The sequence below is a fragment of the Homo sapiens genome, chromosome X (genome assembly GCF_000001405.40).
Source record: "Homo sapiens chromosome X, GRCh38.p14 Primary Assembly".
Lineage (NCBI taxonomy): Eukaryota > Metazoa > Chordata > Mammalia > Primates > Hominidae > Homo > Homo sapiens.
The window spans coordinates 130,090,015-130,114,157 of NC_000023.11; the positions used below are offsets into that span (position 1 = coordinate 130,090,015).

At 51.6% G+C, this 24,143-nt stretch overlaps 2 protein-coding genes across 4 annotated transcripts in view, besides 7 other annotated features; one reads left to right on the forward strand and one right to left on the reverse strand.

Annotated features, from left to right (window-relative positions):
• Positions 1 to 21,844, reverse strand: part of ELF4 (E74 like ETS transcription factor 4) — a 47,904-nt gene extending 26,060 nt beyond the window's left edge. Inside the window, exon 1 of one of the 3 annotated variants that reach the window (NM_001440766.1) lies at positions 21,709 to 21,844. The gene's annotated coding sequence lies outside the window, so the exon portion shown is untranslated. Of the gene's footprint in view, positions 1 to 20,310; positions 20,484 to 20,605; positions 20,878 to 21,708 lie in introns of those variants that run through there. The other 2 variants (NM_001421.4, NM_001127197.2) reach the window with 2 other exon arrangements.
• Positions 1,671 to 1,720: a silencer, noted in NCBI's record as "silent region_20989". NCBI's record gives its function as "represses an Ori minimal core promoter by ATAC-STARR-seq in GM12878 lymphoblastoid cells {active_cell/tissue: GM12878}" and the evidence as "EXISTENCE:reporter gene assay evidence [ECO:0000049][PMID:35858748]".
• Positions 13,580 to 13,874: a silencer, noted in NCBI's record as "tiled region #9263; K562 Repressive non-DNase unmatched - State 3:PromF". NCBI's record gives its function as "represses a minimal TATA promoter and a strong SV40 promoter by Sharpr-MPRA in K562 cells {active_cell/tissue: K562}" and the evidence as "EXISTENCE:reporter gene assay evidence [ECO:0000049][PMID:27701403]".
• Positions 20,365 to 20,434: a silencer, noted in NCBI's record as "silent region_20990". NCBI's record gives its function as "represses an Ori minimal core promoter by ATAC-STARR-seq in GM12878 lymphoblastoid cells {active_cell/tissue: GM12878}" and the evidence as "EXISTENCE:reporter gene assay evidence [ECO:0000049][PMID:35858748]".
• Positions 20,515 to 20,664: a silencer, noted in NCBI's record as "silent region_20991". NCBI's record gives its function as "represses an Ori minimal core promoter by ATAC-STARR-seq in GM12878 lymphoblastoid cells {active_cell/tissue: GM12878}" and the evidence as "EXISTENCE:reporter gene assay evidence [ECO:0000049][PMID:35858748]".
• Positions 20,609 to 24,143, forward strand: part of RAB33A (RAB33A, member RAS oncogene family) — a 74,248-nt gene continuing 70,713 nt past the window's right edge. The window contains exon 1 of the mRNA XM_017029963.3: positions 20,609 to 20,704. The gene's annotated coding sequence lies outside the window, so the exon portion shown is untranslated. The remainder of the gene's footprint in view (positions 20,705 to 24,143) is intronic.
• Positions 20,915 to 20,964: a silencer, noted in NCBI's record as "silent region_20992". NCBI's record gives its function as "represses an Ori minimal core promoter by ATAC-STARR-seq in GM12878 lymphoblastoid cells {active_cell/tissue: GM12878}" and the evidence as "EXISTENCE:reporter gene assay evidence [ECO:0000049][PMID:35858748]".
• Positions 20,975 to 21,024: a silencer, noted in NCBI's record as "silent region_20993". NCBI's record gives its function as "represses an Ori minimal core promoter by ATAC-STARR-seq in GM12878 lymphoblastoid cells {active_cell/tissue: GM12878}" and the evidence as "EXISTENCE:reporter gene assay evidence [ECO:0000049][PMID:35858748]".
• Positions 21,095 to 21,214: a silencer, noted in NCBI's record as "silent region_20994". NCBI's record gives its function as "represses an Ori minimal core promoter by ATAC-STARR-seq in GM12878 lymphoblastoid cells {active_cell/tissue: GM12878}" and the evidence as "EXISTENCE:reporter gene assay evidence [ECO:0000049][PMID:35858748]".

Here is a 24,143-nt window from a genome sequence, read left to right on the forward strand (position 1 = left end):
TCACCTGAGGTCAGGAGTTCAAGACCAGCCTGGCCAACATGGTGAAACCCCATCTCTACTAAAAATACAAAAATTAGGGCCAGGCGTGGTGGCTCACGTCTGTAATCCTAGCACTTTGGGAGGCCGAGGCAGGCGGATGATGAGGTCAGGAGTTCAAGACCAGCCTGGCCAATATGGTGAAGCCTTGTCTATAATAAAAAATACAAAAATTAGCCAGGTGTGGTGGCGCCCTCCTGTAGTCCCAGCTACTCAGGAGGCTGAAGCAGGAGAATTGCTTGAACCCGGGAGATGGAGGTTGCAGTGAGCCAAGATCACGCCACTGCACTCCAGCCTGGGCGACAGAGCAAGACTCTGTCTCAAAAAAAAAAAAGAAGAAGAAGAAGAAGAAGCCACACACATGCAGGGCACATTGAACCTTCACAGTGCCTTCCCCACCTCCACAGTGCCTTCCCCACCTCCACCTCCGTGCCTGTGTTCACACTGTCCCCCAGGCCTGACAGGCCCTTCTTCAACTTCTGCAAGCCCAATGCCCACAAGTCCTTCAAGATCTGAAGCAAATGTCACCTTCTTTTCAAAGCCTTCCCTGCTTCCTCCCCACCTGGCACACTCTCTCCTCCTCCTCATGACACCTTAGCTTTACTTCTTAGACCAAAGCAGGGGTTCATAAACTATGGCTCATGTGCCAAACCCAGCCCTGCGGTCCATTTTTAGACGGCCCATGAGCTAAGAATGGGTTTTACATTTTTTAATGATTGGGAAAAATCAAAAGAAAAATATTTCCTGACATATAGTGATTTTTTAATATATGTATTTTTTGAGACTGGGTTTTGATCTGTCACCCAGGTTGGAGTGCAGTGGCACAATCATGGCTCACTGTAACCTCTGTCTCCTAGGCTCAAGTAATCCTCCCGCCTCAGCCTCCCAAGTAGCTGGAACTACACGTGCACGCCACCGTGCCCGGCTAACTTTTTGTATTTTTTGTTGAGACAGGGTTTTGCCATGTTGTCCAGGTTGGTCTCAAATAAACTGGCTCAACCAATTCTTTGTAGGAAAGGTTTGCTGAATGCTGGACTAAAGGCTTCAGTGTGAATAAATTCACCAAGTTCATTTCTTTTTTAAAATTTATTTTAGGCCAGACACAGTGGCTCACTCCTATAATCCCTGTACTTTGGGAGGCCGAGGCGGGTGGATTACCTAAGGTCAGGAGTTTGAGACCAGCCTGGCCAACATGATGAAACCCCGTCTCTACTAAAAATACAAAAAATTAGTTGGGCATGGTTGTGGGCGCCTGTAATCCCAGCTACTCAGGAGGCTGAGGCAGGAGAATCGCTTGAACCCGGGAGGCAGAGGTGCAGTGAGCCGACATCGTGCCACTGCACTCCAGCCTGGGCAACAAGAGTGAAACTCCATCTCAAAAAAATATATATTTTTTCAAATTTGTATTTATTTATTTTTCAGAGATGGGGTCTTGCTATATTGCCCAGGCTGGTCTCCAAGTCCTGGCCTCAAGCCATCCTCACACCTCCACCTCCCAAAGTGCTGGGATTACAGGCGTGAGCCACCACACCCACCCCATCATGTTGATTTCTGAGAAGAATGTCACAGAGCACTTGGGGATGGAGGTGCCTGCAGGGAGGTGTGGGATGCCAAATACAACTCAGCAGATTCTCATCAGAAAGAAGGTCCTGGGCTGGGGTTAGGAGACGTGAGTTCTGCCCATGATGTGACCTCGAGCAGGTCACTTCTGCTTTGTGTGCCTCGGTTACCTCATCTGCACAATGAGGGGGTTGGACTGGGTGACCTAAGGGCCTGTCTAGCCCTATGACTTAGACAGGCAGTGATCAACTGCATTACCATCTCCCACAGTTCTTAGCAGGCATGGTCCTGATCATTTACCCTCAGAACAAAAGCTTACAGAAGGGTCCTCTGCCCAGCTGTGGTTTTCCGCTGCCCCCATGGGCCTCCCTCACTCCACACTCACCTGCCCTGCCCCACCCTTCCCGTCTGCTGACCTTTCTGCCCTCCTCTCGGAATTCCTCTCCTTGCAAAATGAAGATGGCCTCCTCTGAAAGAGCCCTCCCCTCCCTCCAGTCCGGTGGGCTAAAAGCCTCCACTTTTTTGGGAGGGAGACAGGGAAAGGACTCTCACCTCTCCCCAGCCTCCCAGGGCCCACAGCAGACAGGCAGTGGAGTAGGAGATAGGGCCAGCTCTCACCGCACCCCTGCTCTGCCAGCGGAAACAGCCCTTCTCTGCCACTTCCTGTCCCAGGGGTTTCAGCAGTTTCCCCTTCGGGGCCTGCTGGCCCTCCCAGCCCCGCCCCTGCCTCACACAGGTCAGGGAGTGCAGAGAGGGAAGGGCCCTGCGTGGTGAGTGGGGAGGATCCCTCACAGGAAGGCTGAGGAGACAGCTGTCTACACAAGGGGACGCCCCAGTGGCAGGTCTACCAGACTGCTTTGGGCTAGGAGCAGGTACAAGCGGATGCAGTACCTGGGAGGGAGATTGGGGCTCTCTTGCTACCACAAACCCTCTCCACAAACCCTCTCCTACTACCAGATGAGTAGAAATGACTTTATCACTTTACCTAGCTGTCACCTTGAGGGGTGGAGTGAGCCTGGCCTTAGAGGACTGGATAAAAAACTGGAATATAAATGCTGAGGTCAATGTCCAGGAAGGACTAGCCCAGGGTGGCTTCGAATGGAGGGACAGGTTTAATGAAGCAAGAGGATGAGAGGTTAGTTCACTGGGGCAGATGACATTGAAATCAATGTCACTTCGTAATTTTGCAGGGGCCTTGTCCCTAGCACCAATGGACACAGGCGACAACGGAGGGCAAAGTACAGTTGTCCCCTGGCATACTTGGGGATTGGTTCCAGGACCACCTGGGAATACCAAAATCCATGCACACTCAAGTCCCGCAGTTGGCCTGTGGAGCCCACAAATCCAAAAAGGTGGCCCTCCCTGTACTCAGGTTTCGAATCTTGAGAATACTGTTAAAAAAAAAAAAAATCCACATATAGGCCGGGTGTGATGGCTCATGCCTATAATTCCAGCATTTTGGGCCAAGGCAGGCAGATCACCTGAGGTCAGGAGTTCGAGACCAGCCTGGCCAACATGATGGCGTGGTGGCAGGCACTCTGTCCCCCAGGTTGGAGTGCAGTGGTGAGCCTATAATCCCAGCTACTTGGGAGGCTGAGGCAGGAGAATTGCTTGAACCCAGGAGGCGGAGGTTGCAGTGAGCCAAGATCGCGCCATTGCACTCCAGCCTGGGTGACAGAGCAAAACTCTGTCTCAGAAAAAAAAAAAAAAAATCCACATATAAAGTGGATCCGTGTGGTTTAAACCCATGTTGTTCAAGGGTCAACTGTATTATATCACATATGGGTCAAGGGTAGAGGCATTTTCTGGGTGATGTAGCAGGAAACTCTCACATTCCATGGTGGCTGATGACTTGGTGTGGTGACTTCCACTCTTAAGTACCTCCCAGGTGCTGTTGCAAGGTGGGGTTCCTAGCCGTAGGGCTGTGTGCCTGTGAGGTTATTGTGCAGGCAGGTGACCCACTCAGTGAGACCCTCCCAAGGCCATGGGTCAGAACAGCTGTAAGCAGCCTGAGGCTTTGGACCTCTCTGCCCAGTTGCCAGTCCTCCTGGGGACAGGCCAGAACTATGTGATGCTGGCTCTAGAAGCCTTGCTGCCTGGTTCGGGGGCCTCGTGGTGGATGGACACAATCACCTTGGCTTCCCCGTAGTGATATTGTTCCCTGAGGTTCAAGCAGCTGTGCAAGAAGCTAAGGGGATTCCTACAAATGATGGTTCTGGATGGGCCTGCAAAAAAAATGGCTGAGAAGGTGATCTTGATACCTCTCTCAGCTCGGGGCCATATTCTTGTATCTTTGGCCAAGAACCCTGCCCAGCCAGGCCTCCTGTCATGAGAGCAGGGGCCGGGCGTGGTGGCTCACACCTGTAATCCCAACACTTTGGGAGGACGAGGTGGGTGAATCACTTGAGGTCAGGAGTTCAAGACCAGCCTGGCCAACATGGAGGCACCCCGTCTCTACTAAAAATACAAAAATTGGCCGGGTGTGGTGGCTCACGCCTGTAATCTCAGACTTTGGAGGCCAAGGTGGGCGGATCATGAGGTCAGGTGGGCGGATCATGAGGTCAGGAGTTCGAGACCAGCCTGGTCAATATGGTGAAACTCCATCTCTACTGAAAATACAAATATTAGCCAGGCGTGGTGGTGCAAGCCTGTAGTCCCAGCTACTCGGGAGGCTGAGGCAGAAGAATCACTTGAACCCAGGAGGCAGAGGTTGCAGTGAGCCGAGATCACGCCACTGCACTCCAGCCTGGGTGACAGAGTGAGACTCCATCTCAAAAAAACAAAAACAAAACAAAACAAAACAAAAATTAGCCATGCATGGTGGCGGGCGCCTATAATCCCAGCTACTCGGGAGGCTAAGGCAGGAGAATCGCTTGAAACCCGGAGGCAGAGGTTGCAGTGAGCCAAGATCACGCCACTGCACTCCAGCCTGGGTGACAGAGGAGACTCCATCTCAAAAAAAAAAAAAGAGAGAGAGAGAGAGCAGGGTCCCACTTTTCCCTGTCCCCTCTCACTCTATGTCCCCCCTAGGACAAAGAGGAACCAGTTCCCTCCAGATAGGGCCCCGCCGCCCCTGAGGGGAGTACCTGCTTGTCCACTCCTGCAAGCTGGAGTGAATACGGCTTCACAGCTGGTAGGGAGAACGCCAAGGAAACCTTAGAAACAACATCTGGATGTGCACCTGGGCTTCTGCCAGCCCCTCCCTACATCTGCAGCACAAACCCAGGGCCAGGGTTTGGTTACAAGCCTGGCTCAAAGCTGGCGGCACGTGTTTGGGTGGAGGGGGTGGAAGCGCTTGAGGTTGGTGCCAGCTCAGGGTGAGCACTTGTGGGGTTGGCAGTGACCTGAGCTGCTGGTGGGCCGAGGGTGGTGGGTGTGGCCACTGTGGTCTCAGGCATGGCCTGCTGGGGGAGGGGCAGTGGGGCGTGGGTGCTTGTGTAAAGGTGGGCAAGATTTTCTTTTGCGCTCTCTGATACCACTTCAAGTTGCTCCCCCTGCTTCGGGAAAAGGAGGGCCAAACAGTAAAAATGACAAGATGACAGGGTGGTGTGCAGGGAAGGTGGCAGGGATGTGTAGTTCTGGGGTGCTACACCGTCCCTGCAAAGGAGCCAGTAAGTGGCAGAGCCGGGGTTTGAACCTAGCTTTATTTCCAACTACTACACACAATGAACTTTGTTTTCAGTGAAATCTGCTTTGGTAATAATTCTGTTTTAATAGTTTCATTTGAAAAACAGTAGAAGTGAGGCTCAGAGATTAGGTAACATGATCAAGGCCACCACTGCCCAAGAATGGAGGCAGAACTCAAACTGGGGCCGGTGTGACCTTGATCTTGAAGTCCCTGCTTTTTCCTCTGTCCATGCTAGCAACCATCTGCTAGGATCCCTAGCTCAAGGCTGGCTCACAGCTCTCCACTTCGAAGCCTCAGAGCCCCTGTGGGGCCGCTTCAACAGAGGCTTCCCAGGCTTGTGTCCCAAGCCCCTCAAGGACTCAATGTCAACCCAAGCTCCATCTAGTAAGTCAATTCTAACTTCCAATGGTGACCATGTGAGCTCCTGTGGCCAGCTGCGGAGAAGGAGTATTGTGGAGGGGGAGCCTTCCAGCTCTGATGATGTGGAGGCCGACTCTTCCTATAAGCTCTGCTGTTTCCAGAGAGTTCCTGGCTCCAGACCTCAAGTAGCCACAGCATGGTCCCTGCCCCATAAATATACACTTGCTCTTGGCTTACATATAATGTAAGTCTGGGCTCTTATCTTGGGGTGTTGGTTCACATGTTTATTCAAATATTTATGGAAAGTCAGCCTTGAACACCTCATAGGTGCCAGGCCCAGGGCCAGGGGACTAATCACGGGGCCCACCCTATTCTCTGTGGTAGAGTCTCTTTGTATCCAAATTCCCACTAAGCTCAGTAGCCCATCTGCCTAAACAATATTGCTGGGTGCTCCACCCCCTCAAAACATGTTTGTAGCAAGTTATCTTCAAAATTGAGGCCCAAGGGTTGGGAGAAAATGGGGAGTGAATACTAATGGGTATGGGATTTCTTTTGGGGGTGATGAAAATGTTTTGGGTTTTTTTTTGTTTTGTTTTGTTTTTGAGACAGAGTCTCACTCTGTCGCCCAGGCTGGAGTGCAGTAGCACGATCTCAGCTCACAGTAACCTCTGCCTCCCGGGTTCAAGTTATTCTCATGCCTTAGCCTCCCAAATAGCTGGGACTACAGGTGTGTGCCAGCCATACCGGGCTAATTTTTGTATTTTTATTAGAGATGGGGTTTCACTATGTTGGCCAGGCTGGTCTCAAATTCCTAGCCTCAAGTGATCCGCCCACCTCAGCTTCCCAAAGTGCTGAGGTGATAGGCGTCAGCCACCATGCCCTGCCTGGGGGTGATGAAAATGTTCTAAAATGGATTCTGGTGATGGATGTACAACTCTGAGAATAGATTAAAAACTACTGAAGTGTATGCTTTAAGAGGATGAATTATATGGTATTTGAACTATATCTAATAACTATATCTAATAAAGCAGTTGTCTTTTTTTTTTAACTGAGGCCCAGAGAAGGGCAGCGGCCCACTGAAGGCCATGCACAAGCTAAGGTCCTCTGGTTGATGGCTCCAAGGCTGTTTCCTCCTCCCAGCCTCCCTATAATCCTAGGCAAGGGTAAGTACAGGGTCACTGAGTATGCATGGCAGGTCCAACCTTATGCAAGCTGCTTTCCTTGGGGTAAGCAGTGGAAAACACTTCCAACTAAGGACTTTAATTTCAGGTCTTCCATTAATGTGGCCAAGTCCCTGCCCCTCTCTGGATCCCAATTTCCCTATCTGTAAAGTGAAGTAGGCGAGTTTGGTAATCTTTTGCTAAAGGCTCAGCCAGTTCTGAACCTCTGAGGTTCTAATTAGAAAGTACTGCAAGGGGCCGGGCATGGTGGCTTGCGCCTGTAATCCTAGCACTTTGGGAGGCCGAGGTGGGAAGGTGGCTTGAGGCCAGGGGTTTGAGACAAGCCTAGACAACATGATGAAATCCATCTCTATTAAAAAAAAAAAAAAAAAAAAGCAGCCGGGTGCGGCGGCTCACACCTGTAATCCCAACACTTTGGGAGGCTGAGGCAGGCAGATCACCTGAGGTCAGGAGTTCAAGACCAGCCTGACCAACATGGAGAAACCCCGTCTCTACTAAAAATACAAAATTAGCTGGGCATGGTGGTATATGCCTGTAATCCCAGCTACTCGGGAGGCTGAGGCAGGAGAATCTCTAGAACTTGGGAGGCAGAGGTTGCAGTGAGTTGAGATCGCGCCACTGCACTCCAGCCTGAGCGACAGTGCAAGACTGTCTCAAAAAAAAGAAAAGAAAAGAAAAAGAAAAAGAAAGGAAAAAAAGCGAGCACTGTAAGGCAGAATAGAATGGAGTGTCAGATACGTGGCTCTCCTTTGGGTGCTGCAGGAGGCCTTTGACACAATTAAGTGTTCAAATAGATGCTCCTCACTGATAGTGATGATGAAGATTTTCCCATGAGATTCAAATTCTCTATGACAATCCTTCTGTTGACTGTCTCCATGAGGGGCAGCTCAGTTCTGATTTCGCCTCAGCAGTGCTAGGTGGTAGAGCAACCCATAATAGAGACCCATTGATCATGTCCTTTGGAGATGTCAGGAACCAGGTTCTTGGGCTGGCGCCCAGGCCAGCAGCCCCACCTTGCACTGAGCTTGCCTTCATGGTGGAGGGAGTGATCCTTGATGGCCACCAGCCTAGCCCCCGCTGGACAGGATGTTTCCACATCAAGCCCCACTTCCTGCAGCTAGGCCTGGGCTCCGGTTTCCCCCCTCTCCTGCCATCTGGTCGCCTGCCCTCTGCCCCCTCCCCTTGCCGGGTGTTTACAGGCTGCCTTATCAGCCTGGGGAATCTGGGCCTCACCCAGCCGGCTGCCCCCGCCCTGCCTGGCCCAGACAGCCTGCCCAGGGCCCTACCTGCTCTTTCGTCACTACAGGCTCCCGCAGCCTGGAGCCCCCCTGAGCCATGGGCAGGCAGGGGGTGTGGACGAAGGATTGCTGCCTGGCACAGGCCCGCAGTGCCTGGGGCCCTGCCTGCCAGAGCGAAACCTGAATATTCATAGTGCTTTATGCAGCTTGCTCAAGCTGGAGAGGGCATGCGTTCTTTTTAAATTGTACCTTCTCTATCTGCAGGCTATGGAGACAGGAATGAGACGTGGTGCTGCTAAGGAAGCTAACTTTGACCTGGAGTGCCTCCTCGGCTCTTCTGTACTTAGCCACCCAGAGATGACGGTGGGTAGCTCTAGGCTGAAAGGCACTGCAAGTCCGGGCAGATATATTTGTTTTTTACTGGAGAGCACTGTAAACACTCTAAGCTAAAGGTGGGGCTGAATGAGGGGCTGCAGGCTGACTGTGATGGAGGAGATGAGGCTGGGAAGTCCTTGGGCACAATCTTGGCCAATCCATACCCAGGCTTCTGAGCCTCATGGGTCCCAAGCTGTCTGTGTCCATCCCACCCTGGGATCTATGCACCCACCCAAAGGCTAGGATGAGGCCAGACCTAACCACTGAGCGAGCTAAAAGATTATCCCCCAGGACAGAAGGGCCTAGATTTTTCCATCAAATGTGTTTGAATCACAAAGGGAGACAGGGACGGAGACTGGAAGCAAATGAAGATGCTGAGGGTGACAGATTTCCCTTCCAGCACTTTAGGCTACATTTCTGAAAGTTCAACCTCTGACCCACCTGCAGGCAGGCCCTACAGAGACAGGGCCTGCATGCCAAAGCTGACCAAGCCCCAGACTAGGCGTCAAAGCCACAGTCCAGACTGGGCTCATCTTCCAGGGGCCTCCATTTTGTTCACTGATAAATCACTTAAAATGTACTCGAGGCAGTAGATTGCAACATTCACATTTAAGATCAAAAGTCATACTTCCAAGAAATTTTAACTGTCCTTCTAGGTCTCTAGAATACAATTTTCAGTAGTTTGGGAGCACTTGGGTGGGAAAGTTTGGAAAAACTCTGCTAAGTCAATTTTGCCATTAATGGGCTATGTAACCACAGGCACGCCACGTCACAGGGCTCTCGCAGCCTCGGGCCTCCCTCCCTAGAGATTTCATGCTATCCAGAGCTCCACGCAGGCTTATTGACCATAGTGGCTATCAGGGCTCCACATTTCTTCCCTCTATCGAAATGTTCAGGCCAGCCAGGCGCAGGGGCTCACGCCTGTAATCCCAACACTTTGGGAGGCAGAGGCGGGTGGATCGCCTGAGGTCAGGAGTTCAAGACCAACCTGGCTAACATGGTGAAACCCCGTCTCTACTAAAAATACAAAAATTATCTGGGTGTGGTGGCGGGCGCCTGTAATCCCAGCTACTTGGAAGGCTAAGGCAGGAGAATTGCTTGAACCCAGAAAGTGGAGGTTGCAGTGAGCCGAGATCACGCCACTGCACTCTAGCCTGGGTGACAAGAGCGATACTCCGTCTCAAAAAACAAACAAACAAAAAAACCAAAAAACTGATATTGTGTTAAGTGTCATCTCTCTCCTTAATAGATTTTCTTTTTTCTTTTGATAGAGTCTCACTCTGTTGCCCAGGCTGGAGTGCAGCAGTGCTATCTCGGCTCACGGCAACCTCCACCTCCCAGGTTCAGGCAATTCTCATGTCTCAGCCTCCCAAGTATCTGGGATTATAGGTGCGCATCACCATGCCCTGCTAATTTTGTGTTTTTACTAGAGACGGGTTTTGCCATGTTAGCCAGGCTGGTCTCTAACTCCTGACCTCAAGTGATCCACCCGCCTTGGCCTCCCAAAGTGCTAGGATTACAGGCATGAGCCACCGCCTGCCTCTTAATACATTTTCTTTTAAGGATACCATCTGGAACTAACATGTTTGAGCCTGAGAAGGGGCTCCAGGGCAAGTGGTCACCTGGTGGGGCCAACCAGCAGGTGAACTATAGAGTGTTTCTCAGTGGTTCTACCTCCTGTCACCCCAGTAGCCATGGAGTGAGCTGGTCTTCACCATCTGTACCCCATACCTGTGGGTTCTGTTAGGAAGCTATATGGAGTGAATGTGAAAATCCTTTGGAAAGCTAAAAACTAGGCCTGGTGCAGCAGAAAACCCACTTGACTGGGAGTGAGGAAGATCAAGTTCCAGTCTTGGCCCAGCCTCTGCCTAGCTCCTCCCTCAGCTTCTGAGCTGGCGCCAACTCCTACTCCAGGACACACATTGACATCGATGGCTGTGACCACACCAGCCAGACTCGGCAGAGCCTTATGGTCCAAACTCATCTGCTCAGTTTCCAAAGGTCCTTCACAGTCTGACCCCACCCTACCTACTCCGGCTTGTTTCCCATGATTTCCCAACTTAAGCCTGGGCTTGAAGCCCAGTTGGTCTCCTCATGGTCCCCTGAGGGAACATTCCAGGCTCATTCACGGAGTTTCTCAGGCCTGCCATGCCTTTGCTGCTCCTTTTTGGCTAATCAAATAGTGCCTATCCAGCAAGGGCCCAATCACATCCACCAACCCCATGGAGCTGGTTGTACCCTCATAATTACGGTCTGCACCCATGGAACCCCCTTCTCTAAGCCCCCATGACCCTTAAATTCTACCACAAGATTTATTAATCCCACAGGGTCTTGAATTGCCCTTTAATTATTTCACGTGTATCTCTTGTTTCCCCAACAGGTAGTAAAATCCACGGGATCAAAGCCCATTTCATCTCCTGACTAACACAGGTTTGGGCATTCATGAATGAAGTTCACCTAAATTCTCAACAAGAGTGAGATCTCTAGAAATGAGACCACAGGTCCTGATAGATCTTAGGGCTACAGACTAGGGGTAAGGTAGCCATAGAGTTGGGCAAATGTCTCCAGGGCTCCAATGTTACTTTTCCTCTCTTGCTCCAGGCCTCTGTTAGGGACAAGATGTATTAGCTAGAGTCATTTATTCTAAGTGGCATTGAGAAGGCAGTTGATGATCAGGTCATCACCAAAGCATTCTGTCTTTGTACAAAACCACAATGTTTCCACCCTGGGGTTATTGGTTGATCACTGAACCCTCAGGAAAGACTTCATTCTGGATCAGGTCTAAGAAGTAAAGTGATTCAAGAAAACAGGGGTATGAGGATAACTATATGAGGAAAAATTTTATTTAAAGAAGCCTTTTGTTTTCTGGACAGACAAGGCTGAGCAAGAATATGATTGGCATCTATAAAATGATGTATGAGGCAGATAGTCATGGATTTATTAACCAAAAATTGGTAATAAATGAAGAGCAAATAACAAATAAGTAGTCCTATTTTACAAATGCATAATAAAGTTAAGCAACTTTTTAGGCTAAGAATATCAATTAAAAGATAAGCATCATCTAAAATAATGGTAACATAAGGAACAAACATGATTATAAAATAAGATTTAAAAAACAAGCCGGGCGCGGTGGCTCGTGCCTGTAATCCCAGCACTTTGGAAGGCCGAGGCGGGTGGATCACCTGAGGTCGGAGTTCCAGACCAGCCTGACCAACATGGAGAAACCTCGTCTCTGCTAAAAATACAGAATTAGCCGGGTGTGGTGGCGCATGACTGTAATCCCAGGTACTCGGGAGGTCGGGAGGCTGAGGCAGGAGAATCGCTTGAACCCGGGAGGCAGAGGTTGCAGTGAGCCGAGATCACGCCATTGCACTCCAGCCTGGGCGACAAGAGGGAAACTCCGTCTCAAAAAACAAAACAAAACAAAACAAAACAAAACAAAACAAAACAAAAACAAGGCCAGACTGGGCGCAGTGGCTCACGCCGGTAATCCCAGCACTTTGGGAGGCCAACGCCAGTGGATCATTTGAGGTCAGGAGTTTGAGACCAGCCTGGCCAACATGGTGAAACCGTGTCTCTACTAAAAATATATTTAAAAAAAAATTTAGCTGGGTGTGGTGGTACATGCCTGCAATCCCAGCTACTTGGGAGGCTGAGGCAGGAGAATTGCTTGAACCCAGGAAGCAGAGGTTGCAGTGAACTGAGATCGCACGACTGGCACTCCAGCCTGGGCGACGGAGTGGGACTCCATCTCAAAATAAAATAAAACACCAAACATATTTGTTACAACAAAAATTAACGCAAGTGGGATAAATGCAAATATTAAAAGAAAATGTTATGGACAAGTCAGCCCTAAAAATCACATGAAATCGCAAAGGACTTAAACTAGCCAAAAACAACTTCAAACAAAAGCAAAGTTGAAAGGCTAATACTACCTGATTTCAAGAATGATTATAAAGCTACAGTAATCAAAACAGTTGGTGTTAATGTAAAGAGAAATAAGTAGACCAATCAATGGAATTGAATAGAGTGCAGAAATGGGCCCACATATAGACAATGGTAGTAGACTGATGATAGCTTTTTCAAAAATAGTGCTAGAATAATTAGATATTCATATGCATAAAGAAAAAGAAAAAAAAGGCTGGGTGCAGTGGCTCACGCCTGTAATCCTAGTACTTAGGGAGGCCAAGCTGGGAGGATAGCTTGAGGCCAGGAGTTCAAGATCAGCCTGGGCAACATAGTGAGAACATACCTCTACAAAAAAAAAATTTAAAATTAGCTGGGCATGGTGGCACACTCTTGTGGTCCCAGCTACTTGGAAGGCTAAGGTGGTAGGATTACTTGAGCTCAGGAGGTCAAGGCTGCAATGAACCATAATCATACCACTGCACTCCAGCCTGGGCAACAGAGCAAGACCAAGAAAAAGAAAGAAAGAAGAAAGCAAGAAAGCAAGATAAAGATGAGAGAGAGAGAGAGAGAGAGAGAGAGAGAGAGAAAGAAAGAAAGAAAGAAAGAAAGAAAGAAAGAAAGAGAGAGAAGGAGGGAGGGAGGAAGGAAGGAAGGGAGGGAGGAAGGAAGGAAGGAAGGAAGGAAGGAAAAGAATTTGGATCCATACCACTCAACATACAGAAAAATTAACTCAAAGCAGACCATAGACTAAAATGTAAAGACTAATATTATAAAACCTATAAAAGAAAATATGAGACAAAATATTTGTGAACTAAGGCTAGGGGAAGAGTTCTTCGATACAGCACCAAAACTATGACCCATAAAAAGAAAAGTTGAAAAGTTGCACTTTCATCAAAATTTAAAATGTTTGCTAAAGTCAAAAGACACTGAGAAGGGGATTAAAAGAAGCCACAGACTACGAGAAAGTATTTACAAAGCATGTATCTGATGAAAGTCTTGTATCCAAAAAATATAAAGAACTCTCACAACTCAACTACAAGAAAACAAACAATTCAGTTTAAAAATGGGCAAAAGATTTGAACAGACACCTCAACAAAGAAGACATATGGACAGCAACTATATGAAAAGATGTTCAACATCATCAGTCAATACAAACATCATCAGGAAAATACAAATTAAAATCACAATGAGATACCACTGCACACTTATTAGAATGGCTAATTAGAAGTGGTCATCTAATGAGACAGGTGTTTTCTGTGCATAGATTCTCATAGAATTAGCAGAGCTGAACTAGCCTCTGTTATCCTCAGGGGGCATTATAGGAAAAAGATTAGCTCCTCATTCTATGTCTAAATACCTCCTTGTTATCGGGTCATCAGGAATTTCGGGAGGTTAAGAATAATTGCCACCCTCCCATCCCCCAAAGCCTAGCAGTTCTAACTGAGGGGTGGGGACCAAGGGACTGAGTGGAGTGCTTTACTCAGGGGTGGTCCAGTTTATCCTAGGCTGCCTGTCCCTGCGGGTGGTCACAGGCTCCTCAAGCAAACACAATCCAGTCAATAGCAAATGGAACCTCCAAGTTACTCTCTGGGAGGCCTCTGGAAGGGCACTGGCCCCCAGTCCCCTGGGAGCTCTTCTGGGCAAAGGCAGTGCCCCAGCCTCAACTCAAGGCCTCTGGGCATTGGCCCAGAATGGACCCATCATCTATTCTAGTGAAGGGTGAGAGTGAGTGGTAGTCAGCCAGTTGGCTCCCAGAATTTTACACTCAGTAGGATAATAACAACAATCTGATGATTGCTAAATAGTTCCCAGGAGTACAACGTTAGGCCTCTCAAAGAAACTAACTTACTCTTATTTCTGCAGTGAATGATGCTCAAGATGAAAATGGTGAAGGACTAAAGAAGGCAATGTTAGTACAAATATTAACGATTTGAGTTTTGCTCTTCACTACAGCACTGCCTGCCATTCAGTATATTACACACACACACACACACACACACACACACACACACACACACCTTCTATTACATCCTTTCCCTATCCTGTGCAATGGCCGAGTTAACAAAAAGCAGAAAAACCTGGAAAATCTCCCGCTTAGTTTCAGAAATGGGTGTGGCATGCCCTGCCCGCATTGCCGAAGAAGTAGTTGGTCCCTAGAGCCTGGCAAAGTCAAGGGTGTGTGAAGGGGAAATGGTGACAACAATAATAATAACTGTCACAGGAATAATAATAACAGCAGTGAACACTTACTGGGTGGGTACTATATGCCAGGCACTCTGCTGAGTGCTTTATATGCATCGTCTCATTTAAGCTTCACTCCAACCCTGTGAGATGGGCGCTGACTCCCAGAGTGGTTAAGTAACTAGCTCAACAGCAAATAGTCACACAGCCAGTAAGTTTGGCATATAAATGTAGAGAGCCTGTGCTCTTCCTCCTCTAGACAATAACATGTATTGGGAAGGATATTGGGTCACACTGGAAGAGGAAAGGAAGCTTCAGGAGAGTCAGGTGTTCTGAGAGGCAGGAAGTGCCCACACTGGGCCAAGAAAATGACCCATCAAGAAGGTGGCAACTCGGCTGGGTGCGGTGGCTCATGCCTGTAATCCCAGCACTTTGGGAGGCCAAGACAGGTGGATCACCTGAGGTCAGGGGTTCGAGACCAGGCTGGCCAACATGGTGAAACCCCGTCTTTACTAAAAAATACAAAAAAAAAAGAAAATTAGCTGGGCATGGTGGTAGGTGCTTGTAATCCCAGCTACTTAGGAGGCTGAGGCAGGAGAATTGCTTGAACCCGGGAGATGGAGGTTGCAGTGAGCCAAGATCACACCACTGCACTCCAGCCTGGGCGACAGAGCAAGACTCTGCCTCAAATTAAAAAAAGAAAAGAAGGTGGCAACTCAAGGGAAAGCTTGCTCAGCCTCTACAAGCTGCTCAGCTTGCTTCTTGTTAGCCTCTCTGAGAAATGTTCTGGCACTTTCCCTTGCAGACCTTCCTGCATGAAACACCCTTCCCTGCTCCCTGACCCTCCTCCTCACCCTGGAAGCAGGCTGGGGTCTCTTTGCCGAGAAACTCACCTTAGGGCATGATTTCCCAACCAAGAAGTCAGGGCCCTCTGGTATGTCCCTTTGGTGTTGAAATGTGCTGGGGAGGAGGCAGGGCAGTGAGAGAGGGAAAATGATGAGTGTGTGTATGTGGCAGGGGGATGTCCGGGAGTTTTTTATCCAATTAAACCCAACCAGGGCCAAGCTTCCTCCATGTCCAGCCTTGGGAGACACAGAATCAGTGGAAGCAATATATGGCTAGTCCTTAGCGGTCTGGGCAGAAACACATGAAACTCTACATTCTTCATTTCCCAGATGGTGGAGTGGGGAACAATTATGAAAATCTCTTTCCTCCACCTGAAGCTCTGGGCTTCCAGAGAAATCCCAGAACCCTGGGGAAAAGGTGGGATCCAGCCAGCCTGAGACTGCCATGAGCACAAGTGGCATGTCAGTTTTCCTGTCATTTAAGTGCCCTACGTCTCCCCTGCCATCTCTCCCACTCCCCAGGGGCCTGTGTGTGTGTGTGTGTGTGTGTGTGTGTGTGTGTGTGTGTGTGTGTCTGGTAAGGGAGGGGTTTCAAACGAAATCCCCTCAGCTTGGGTGGCAGGCTGGCCAGCCAGTTTATATCTCCCGGAGTGGAGACAGGGGTTTGCACTGAGCCACCCACACTAGCTGACCTGGTCTTTTATGTGACACACATTTGCCAAACAATCATCCAGGCTTCGAAGGTCAGTTCGTGGCCAGGGAATAGAGAGAAAGGCGTCTTTTCTTCCTTTTCTGCTGAGCCAAATCTCCCCCTTGCTTCCCCCTCTCCCCCCTTCAAGGTCTAGCCTAGGCCCGCATCCCTCACAAAGCCTTCCCTCCCTCCTCCAGCTGCTGCTGACCTCCAGTCCCAGCCGTGCTGGCCTCTGCTCCAACAAGCACAATTAGCACCTGACCAGCCACTGGCCCGGCTGCTTGTCCTCGCCTCTGATTGTTTCAGTGTCTTAGTCATCTCTTCCCCAGCGCCTCCTTCTCTCATCTCCCCCACGGCGCCTAGCATCGGTTGGGCACACAGTAGGTATTAATAAATGTCTGTTGAATTGAAACTCAGCAGCCCCTATGAGGTCAGAACCCTCATAAGCACCCCGACCAGCAGTTTCTTGGCAACCAGCACTGGGGCCCGAGCTACAGGGCATTAGCAGTGTGGCTGCTATTACAGGACACACGAGGCTCAGCGGCCAGAGATTTGCAGGCAGGTTGGTGTTGATGAGAAAAGCCCCTGACCCCTAGGAAAGCGCCTATGGGATTCTGGGTGCCTTGCAGGAGTTTCCTTTCTCCCCTGCAGAAGTAGTTTTCAGTCTGAGAACCACAAAAAGAATAAATTGGAAGAGAAGCCAGAAACCTCTTTGCAGCTTAGAAATCCAGGAGAGATGCCAAGCCCGGGTTGGGGTCAGGCCCTACCCTGAGGACAGAAGGCTGCCCAGGGCCTTTCCCAGCTCGGTGGGAGATCCTGGGGAGACAGGGGGCATGGCAGACATGACCCCTTCCACTGCAGGGGGCTATAGGGATGTTTGGGGGGTGTCCCTAAGAAATGCCATCCTGCCCTGGAACCCAACAAATGACATCCTGCAAGATTGCCACCTGTAGCTCATGCAGAAACCAGTGTCCCAGCCAGGAGCAATGGCTCACGCCTGTAATCACAGCACTTTGGGAGGCCAAGACGGGCGGATCACCTGAGGTCAATAGTTCAAGACCAGCCTGGCCAACATGGTGAAACCCCGTCTCTACTAAAATATACAAAAATTAGCTGGGGAAGGTTGTGGGCACCTGTAATCCTAGCTATTCAGAAGGCTAAGGCAGGGAGAAATGCTTGGGCCTGGGAGGCAGAGCTTGCAGTGAACCGAGATTGGGCCACTGCACTCCAGCCTGGGCGACAGAGCAAGACTCCATCTCAAAAAGAAAAGAAAAGAAAAGAAAAGAAAACCAGTGTTCCTTTCCCTCTCATTCACCCAAATCCTAGGGCAAGACTCTGTGTGTGGGGAGGGTGGGAGGTGCATCTAGACCAGAATCTGGCCAGGGTCTTCAGGCAAAGAGAAGCCCCCAAGTCTAGGGTGCTTGATCCCCCACACTGGCTCAGGAATTTGATCCTGGCTTCCAATTACAATTATTTATATAGATGACATATCCCCTCTCCCTGACCCCTTCCTGTACACCTGCTCTGACTCCAGCCCACACGAAAAGGTACACACAATCCCGGAAGGCAGGTGGTGTCTTCCTCACATCCATGTTTTCCTCACTGCCACTTCATTGGGGTCTGGTACTAGGACCGGCTCTGAGCAAGTGTTTGCTGAATTGAATCTGAGTTTTAGGCGCTGCATTAGGCAATATCGTAAGGGCAGCTAGCACTTACTGTGTGCCATGTGCTGTTCTAATAAGCATCTTATATGTATTCATTCATGTATTTGATCCTCACCAAAGTGTTATAAAGTGGTCTCATGTGACAGATAAGGAAACTGGGGCATACAATTGACTGGGATCACATAGCTAGTAAATAACAATGCTGGGATTTCAACCTAGACAGCCAGGCTTTAAGAACTGGAGGTAGCTGGGCACAGTGGCTCACGCCTATAATCCAGCACTTTGGGAGGCGGAGGCGGGTGGATCACCTGAGGTCAGGAGTTCGAGGCCAGCCTGACCAACACGGAGAAACCCCGTCTCTACCAAAAATACAAAATTAGCCGGGCGTGGTGGTACATGCCTGTAATCCCAGCTACTCGGGAGGCTGAGGCAGGAGAATCACTTGAACCTGGGAGGCGGAGGTTGCGGCGAGCCAAGATCGTGCCATTGCACTCCAGCCTGGGCAACAAGAGTGAAACTCCATCTCAAAAAAAAAAAAAGAACTGGAGGTAAGGAGTTCAAGATTACAGTGAGCTGTGACTGTGCCACTGCACTCCAGCCTGGGTGACAAAGTGAGACCCTGAATTAAAAAACAAAAACCAAAAAAAAAACAACACTCTAAACGCAAAAACAAAAACTGGATGTAAAATTACATTGCGGGGGTAGGGGATGTGGAAAGGAAGAAGGCCAAGCTTAAGAGCAGAAGAGCAGAGGTTTCCCCAGGAAAGCAAACTCCTCAGCCTGTGTCTAGCTGGGTCTGTGCGGCACAGGGCCTGATTTTTGCAAGATGAGGGGCATTTTGGACATGCTATCACTCAGGCCCCTAGAGACAGACCACAGCACCCTCTATTTTAGATCCCAATATATGCCAGAGAAGACAGAAGCCACTGTGTCACCACTTAGCACTAGGTGAGGGAGAGTGAATTTTGGGCCCCTAGGTTGTCCAGGGGTGGGCGCCAGTTCCTGAGCAACCACCGAGCAAACAGTGCAGCACAGGGAGGAATGCCAGACATAGTTGCAAACAAGCCACTCCTTCGGCTCACAGCAAGAGGCTGGGTGAGGGTGGTAGCATGGAGCCTGCTTCATGGTCCCCCCCACCCCTGCCCCCAACAAGAGATCCCAGGCTCTGAATCCAGCCCCAAAAACAACCAGATGCAAGGTAGCCTCTTCCTCACACCAGCTGGCTGGGATAGGAAGTCCTCCCTGATAATCTTCACTGAACTCCAGAGAGCTCCCCCTACGCTGCTCCTGTACTGGATGCACTGAATCTGAATTAATGGTTGAGAAAGCACTTTATAACCAGGAAAACCCAGTGTAACTAACTGCAAGGAAGGACTGGCATTCTTGCTGGGCATATGTGTTCCCCGGGCATTTTCAGTGCCAAAGTCTCCCCAAAGGGAAGAGCTAGAACTGTTCCCTTCACCCACCTCCAACCTGGCACTCGGGCCAGGGGTCAGCTGGCAGGGGGTGAGTCCCCAATGGGCGTGCCCACCAGCTGTTGGGGCTGAGCAGTGGTGGTTCAGGCCCTGGGGTGGTGACCTCACTTCCGCTCCTACCTCCCCACCTCCCCAGCACTCCTCCCATTTGAGGCCCCACCAGGCCAAAATCGAGAAGTCCAAGGTTAACTGTTCTTTCCCACTTTAAGAGCTAATTAAAATAATTAGCCACAATGAACTGTCAAACATTAACCAGAAGAGGCTGCAGGACCAGACAGGCCTCTATCACAGGCCGAGGGATGAGGGGCAGGAATCAAATGGCCATCAAATCCCTCAGCTGGGGTATGGTGCGGGGCGGGGGCGGCCCAGGAGGACCTCGCTGAGCCGAGGTGCCAAGGGGTCAGGAGGTGACTCTGGTCAGGAAGGTGATGTGCAGGCATACGGTGGTGAGAAAAGGGAGTCAGGGTTAGGGTGCGGTGGAGGAGCCAGGAATTCATAAAGCGGTCACCGCCTCAGCAGTCCCTCAAGCCTCCAAAGCAAGGCGCTGGCGTGAGGGGACCCCGCACGGTGCGGCTGCTGAATCCCCTAGGCGGCGGCCCAGGAGGGAACCCGGAGGCGGGAGAGTCGGGGAGAGCGGGAACGCGGGAGCGGGAAGGCTGGCGGCTGGCTCACACGGAAACTCCGGCCCCTGCCAAGAGGTCTCTATTTTGGCGATCCAGTTCTCCACATCATAGGTCTGCGTGCGCGTGTGTGCGTGTGACCCTAAAGCCCTGGCCCCAGAAGCCCCGGGGGCAGTCGGATCCATCTAGCAGCTCCGCCGCGGTCCGCCCCACCTCCTCTGCCCTCGGGCGCCCAGCTTCTGGGGGCCCGCTGTCATGATCGGCCCCGTCACGGAACCCAGGCTGCCGGGGGCGAGGGAAAACAGGGGCCCCTACCCCGACTCCCCGACTCGGGGAATCCATTCCACTTCCATCCCGGGATCGGGAGCCCGGGTTCTCCATCACACGCGCGGCGGGGCGACTCCAGGGCGGCTCGCGACACTCCGCGACTCTCCCGCCCTTCCCTGGGCCCCCAGCCCCACGCCGGGGCCCCGGCGCTCTCGATTCCGCCCTCAAGCAAACTTTTCCACGTCCCCCAAGGCTCGAAGAACCGGCGCCATCGACGTACCTGAGGCCGAGTGGCTCACGGGCCCAGCTCGGTCGCCGGGCCGGGGTCTGTCTCCGTGGTCCCCGCTCCGGGGGCCGAGACGCGGGTCCCCAGCCCCGCCAGCCCGTCCTCTCCCCTCGGAAGCCGGGCCGGGCGAGCGGCGCCAGGAACTCGGCGCCGGCGAAAGGAGAAGTGGAAGTTGAGCGCGGCGCCCGGTCGGTCCCCGCGGCCGCCGGGGCCGCCGTCCCCCGCCCTCCTCCCCGCCCGCCCTTCTTCCCCGCCCGCCTGCCCCCGCCACCCCGCGCCCGTGACTCACCTCGGCGCCGGGGCAGGCTGGTCCGGGCGGGCGAGGCGCAGGGCTCTCCCACACTTCGCGCCGCCAATGGCAAGTTGGAGGGAGAGATGCAAATACCAGGTGAGACGGCGGCGCCCCTGATAAAACGGGGCGGGGGGCGGGGTGGAGCGCGCGGGGAGCGGGGCGGACGCCGGGGAGGGCCGGGCCAAGACACGGGGCGGCAGGGGCGCCCGGGGAGGGGGCGCGAACCGGCGCAGACATGCACCGAAACGAGCGAGCGAAAGGGGAAATGCAGTAGAGACACACACGTCCCCGCAGGCGGCGGATGGGGCGGGCGCGAAGGAGGCAGGGCGGGAGGGAGGGAAGAGCCGGAGGGAGGGACCGACGGGAGGGACTGCGGGCGGGCGGGGTGGGGGAGGGAACGAGGGAGGGACGAGGCATCTCGGTGGAAACAGCGCCCGTCCGCCCCGGCCCGCCCGCCGCGGTCGCCAGCACGGCATGGGGAGCCGTGCCAGGGGCCCGCGCGGCCTCTCATTCCCCTCGCGGCTCGCTCGCGCCCGGGGGACCACGAGGCAGGGCGCCCGCAGAGCCCGCGTCGTGCGCCGCGGCCCGGGCGGGCGCTCCCCACTCTGCTTCTAGCCAGCGAGACTCCGAGCTCTCTGCTCGTTCCGCGCCCTTCCCGGTGCGAAGCCCCCATACAACGCCCCGCAGAGAAATCCCTTCCCCGCGGACTCGGGAAGGTTTCGTCCAGCCCCCTCGGCCCGTGCAAGTGGAGACTTGCTTGACGCCTTTGGGCCAAGCCCTGCGCTCCACATTATTGAGCTCCTGGGGTGTGCAGGCCCCAGCGGGAGGGCGGGCCGTGCGGCGGGTGAGGCCGCGAGATGCCCAGAGGATACAATTTTGGAACCATATGCCCGACTCCGCAGAATCCTGGGCGTAACACCTGGGGTGACTGGAGAGTTTCGGCGACTTCTTAGGGAAGTCGAGTCTAGGACTCCTGCGGGAAGTTGGGGTGGGGGACGCTGGCAAGATATGAGTCAGGGGAAGGGCTAGGGGGAGAGGGGCTGGCCCAGCAAGTGCAAAGAGAGCCAGAGTTCGGGTGCTGGAAGAAAGCCCATGCCTACCTTTCTTCCCCTGTCCAAAGCCAGGCTGCTCTGCTCCACGCGCCCACTTGAAAGCCACTCAGGCACGCTCCCCTTCTATCTCCCCTTTGCCCTCTCTGACCTGCCTCAACATCAATACCGCCGCCTACGTGGGTCTGCTGATAGGAGGCTCTGGAGAGAGTGCGCTGGGAATTGTTACTCTGTATAGTTCCACGTGGCCTTTTTGGGGGTGGGGGCAGCAAGGCCTAAGCCTTGGCAGAAAGCATCAAGACTGAAGGAGCCCCAGGGGATGGGGCCTTCTAAAGGGCTTGAGGTTGAAGGACCTACTCAGCCTCCAGCATCGGCCTGCTTCTCCTGCCTTGGGAAAGGATCATCTCAGGCGCAGGACTGGGGGACAGGAGTGGTGGTGGATGATGGCCACAAAGGCAGCTGCAGATTACAAGTTCCCAAGGAAAGATCCTGTGGCTGGACTGGGGCGCCGGCCCCTGAGACCTCCTGGATACTCAGAATCAAGTCCCCAAAACAAGCACTTTGTCTTTTCCAAGCGGGCATGCTTTTCCCAGGGGATTCCAGATCCTGGAGACACACAGTTCTCTGCTGGCCTCTCATCCACGAGGTCCCCTCTCAAATTTGGGGTAGGTTCCGGATGTCCCTAAGCCCTCTTTACCTTGACTTTGAAATTCACGAATGGACAGACACGTCTGCACACGCGTGCACACACACACACTTTCCCATTTTGCTAAGAGCTCAGTGGTCTGTAACCTCAGACAGACCTGGGTTCCTATTCCAGCTCACTATTTACCAGCTGTGTGACTTCAGGCAAGTCACTTAAACTCTCTGAGCCTCACTTTTCTTCTTTAAAACAGAACAAAAACAAAAACTAGGCTGGGTGTGGTGACTCATGCCTGTAATCCCAGCACTTTGGGATGCCGAGCGGGGTGGATCACTTGAGGTCAGGAGTTCAAGACCAGCCTGGCCAACATGGTGAAACCCCATCTCTACTAAAAATACAAAAATTAGCCGGTGTGGTGGTGCATGCCTGTAGTTCCAGCTACTCGGGAGGCTGAGGCAGGAGAGTCACTTGAACCTGGGAGGCAGAGGTTGCAGTGAGCCGAGATCGTGCCACTGCACTCCAGCCTGGATGACACAGTGAGACTCCATCTCAAAAAAATAAATAAATTAAATAAATTAATTTTTTTATTTTTGTTTTTTATTTTTATGGGTACATTGTAGGTGTGTGTATTTATGGGTTACATGAGATGTTTTGATACAGGCATGCAATGTGTAATAATCACATCAGGGTAAATGGGGTATCTGTCACCTCAAGCATTTCTCCTTTCTTTGTGTGTTTTCTTTTTCTTTTTTTTTTTTCCTTCTTTTTTTTTTTTTTTTTTTTTGAGATGGAGTCTCGCTCTTTCTCCCAGACTGGAGTGCAGTGGCGCGATCTCGGCTCACTGCAAGCTCCACCTCCCGGGTTCATGCCATTCTCCTGCCTCAGCCTCCTGAGTAGCTGGGACTACAGGAACCCGCCACCATGCCCGGCTAATTTTTTGTATTTTTTAGTAGAGGCAGGGGTTCACTGTGTTAGTCAGGATGGTCTCGATCTCCTGACCTCGTCATCCACCCGCCTCGGCCTCCTAAAGTGCTGGGATTACAGGCGTGAGCCACTGCGCCCGGCCTCTTTCTTTGTGTTATATACAATCCAGTTATACTCTTTTAGTTTAGATTTTTTTTTTTTTGAGACGGAATTTCACTCTTCTTGCCCAGGCTGGAGTGCAATGGTGTGATCTCGGCTCACCGCAACCTCTGCCTCCTGGGTTCAAGCGATTCTCCTGCCTCAGCCTCCCGAGTAACTGGGATTATAGGCATACGCCACCACACCTGGCTAATTTTTGTATTTTTAGTAGAGATGGGGTTTCTCCATGTTGGTCAGGCTGGTCTCAAACTCCTGACCTCAGGTGATGCGCCTGCCTTGGCTTCCCAAAGTGCTGGGATTACAGGTGTGAGCCACCGCGCCTGGCCCTAGTTATTTTTAAATGTGCAATAAATTATTGTTGACTGCAGGCACCCTGTAGTGTTATCAGGTACTAGATCTTACTCATTCTAACTATATTTTTGTACCCATTAACCATCTGCACTTCCCTGCCCCCAGCCTCACTTTTCTTATTTTTAAATTGGAGACAATATGAACCTACCTCCCAAGGCTGTGGCAAGGACTGAATGAGATAACAAATGTCTATGGCAGTGTCTGGTGCCCAGTAAGTCTTCAATAAATGTTAGCTCTCTTAGGTGTCATGTTCATCTTCATTTCCCTTTCTCAACCCAGCTCTCAGGAGAAAGTATGACAGGGCCAGGGCTGAAGTTGCTCAGGACTAATGGTGGATCCCTCCCGTAAGTGAATGTAGTTTGAACCAAGGCTGAAGCCTCAAGGCAGCATGCAAGGAGAGGTTTTCCTT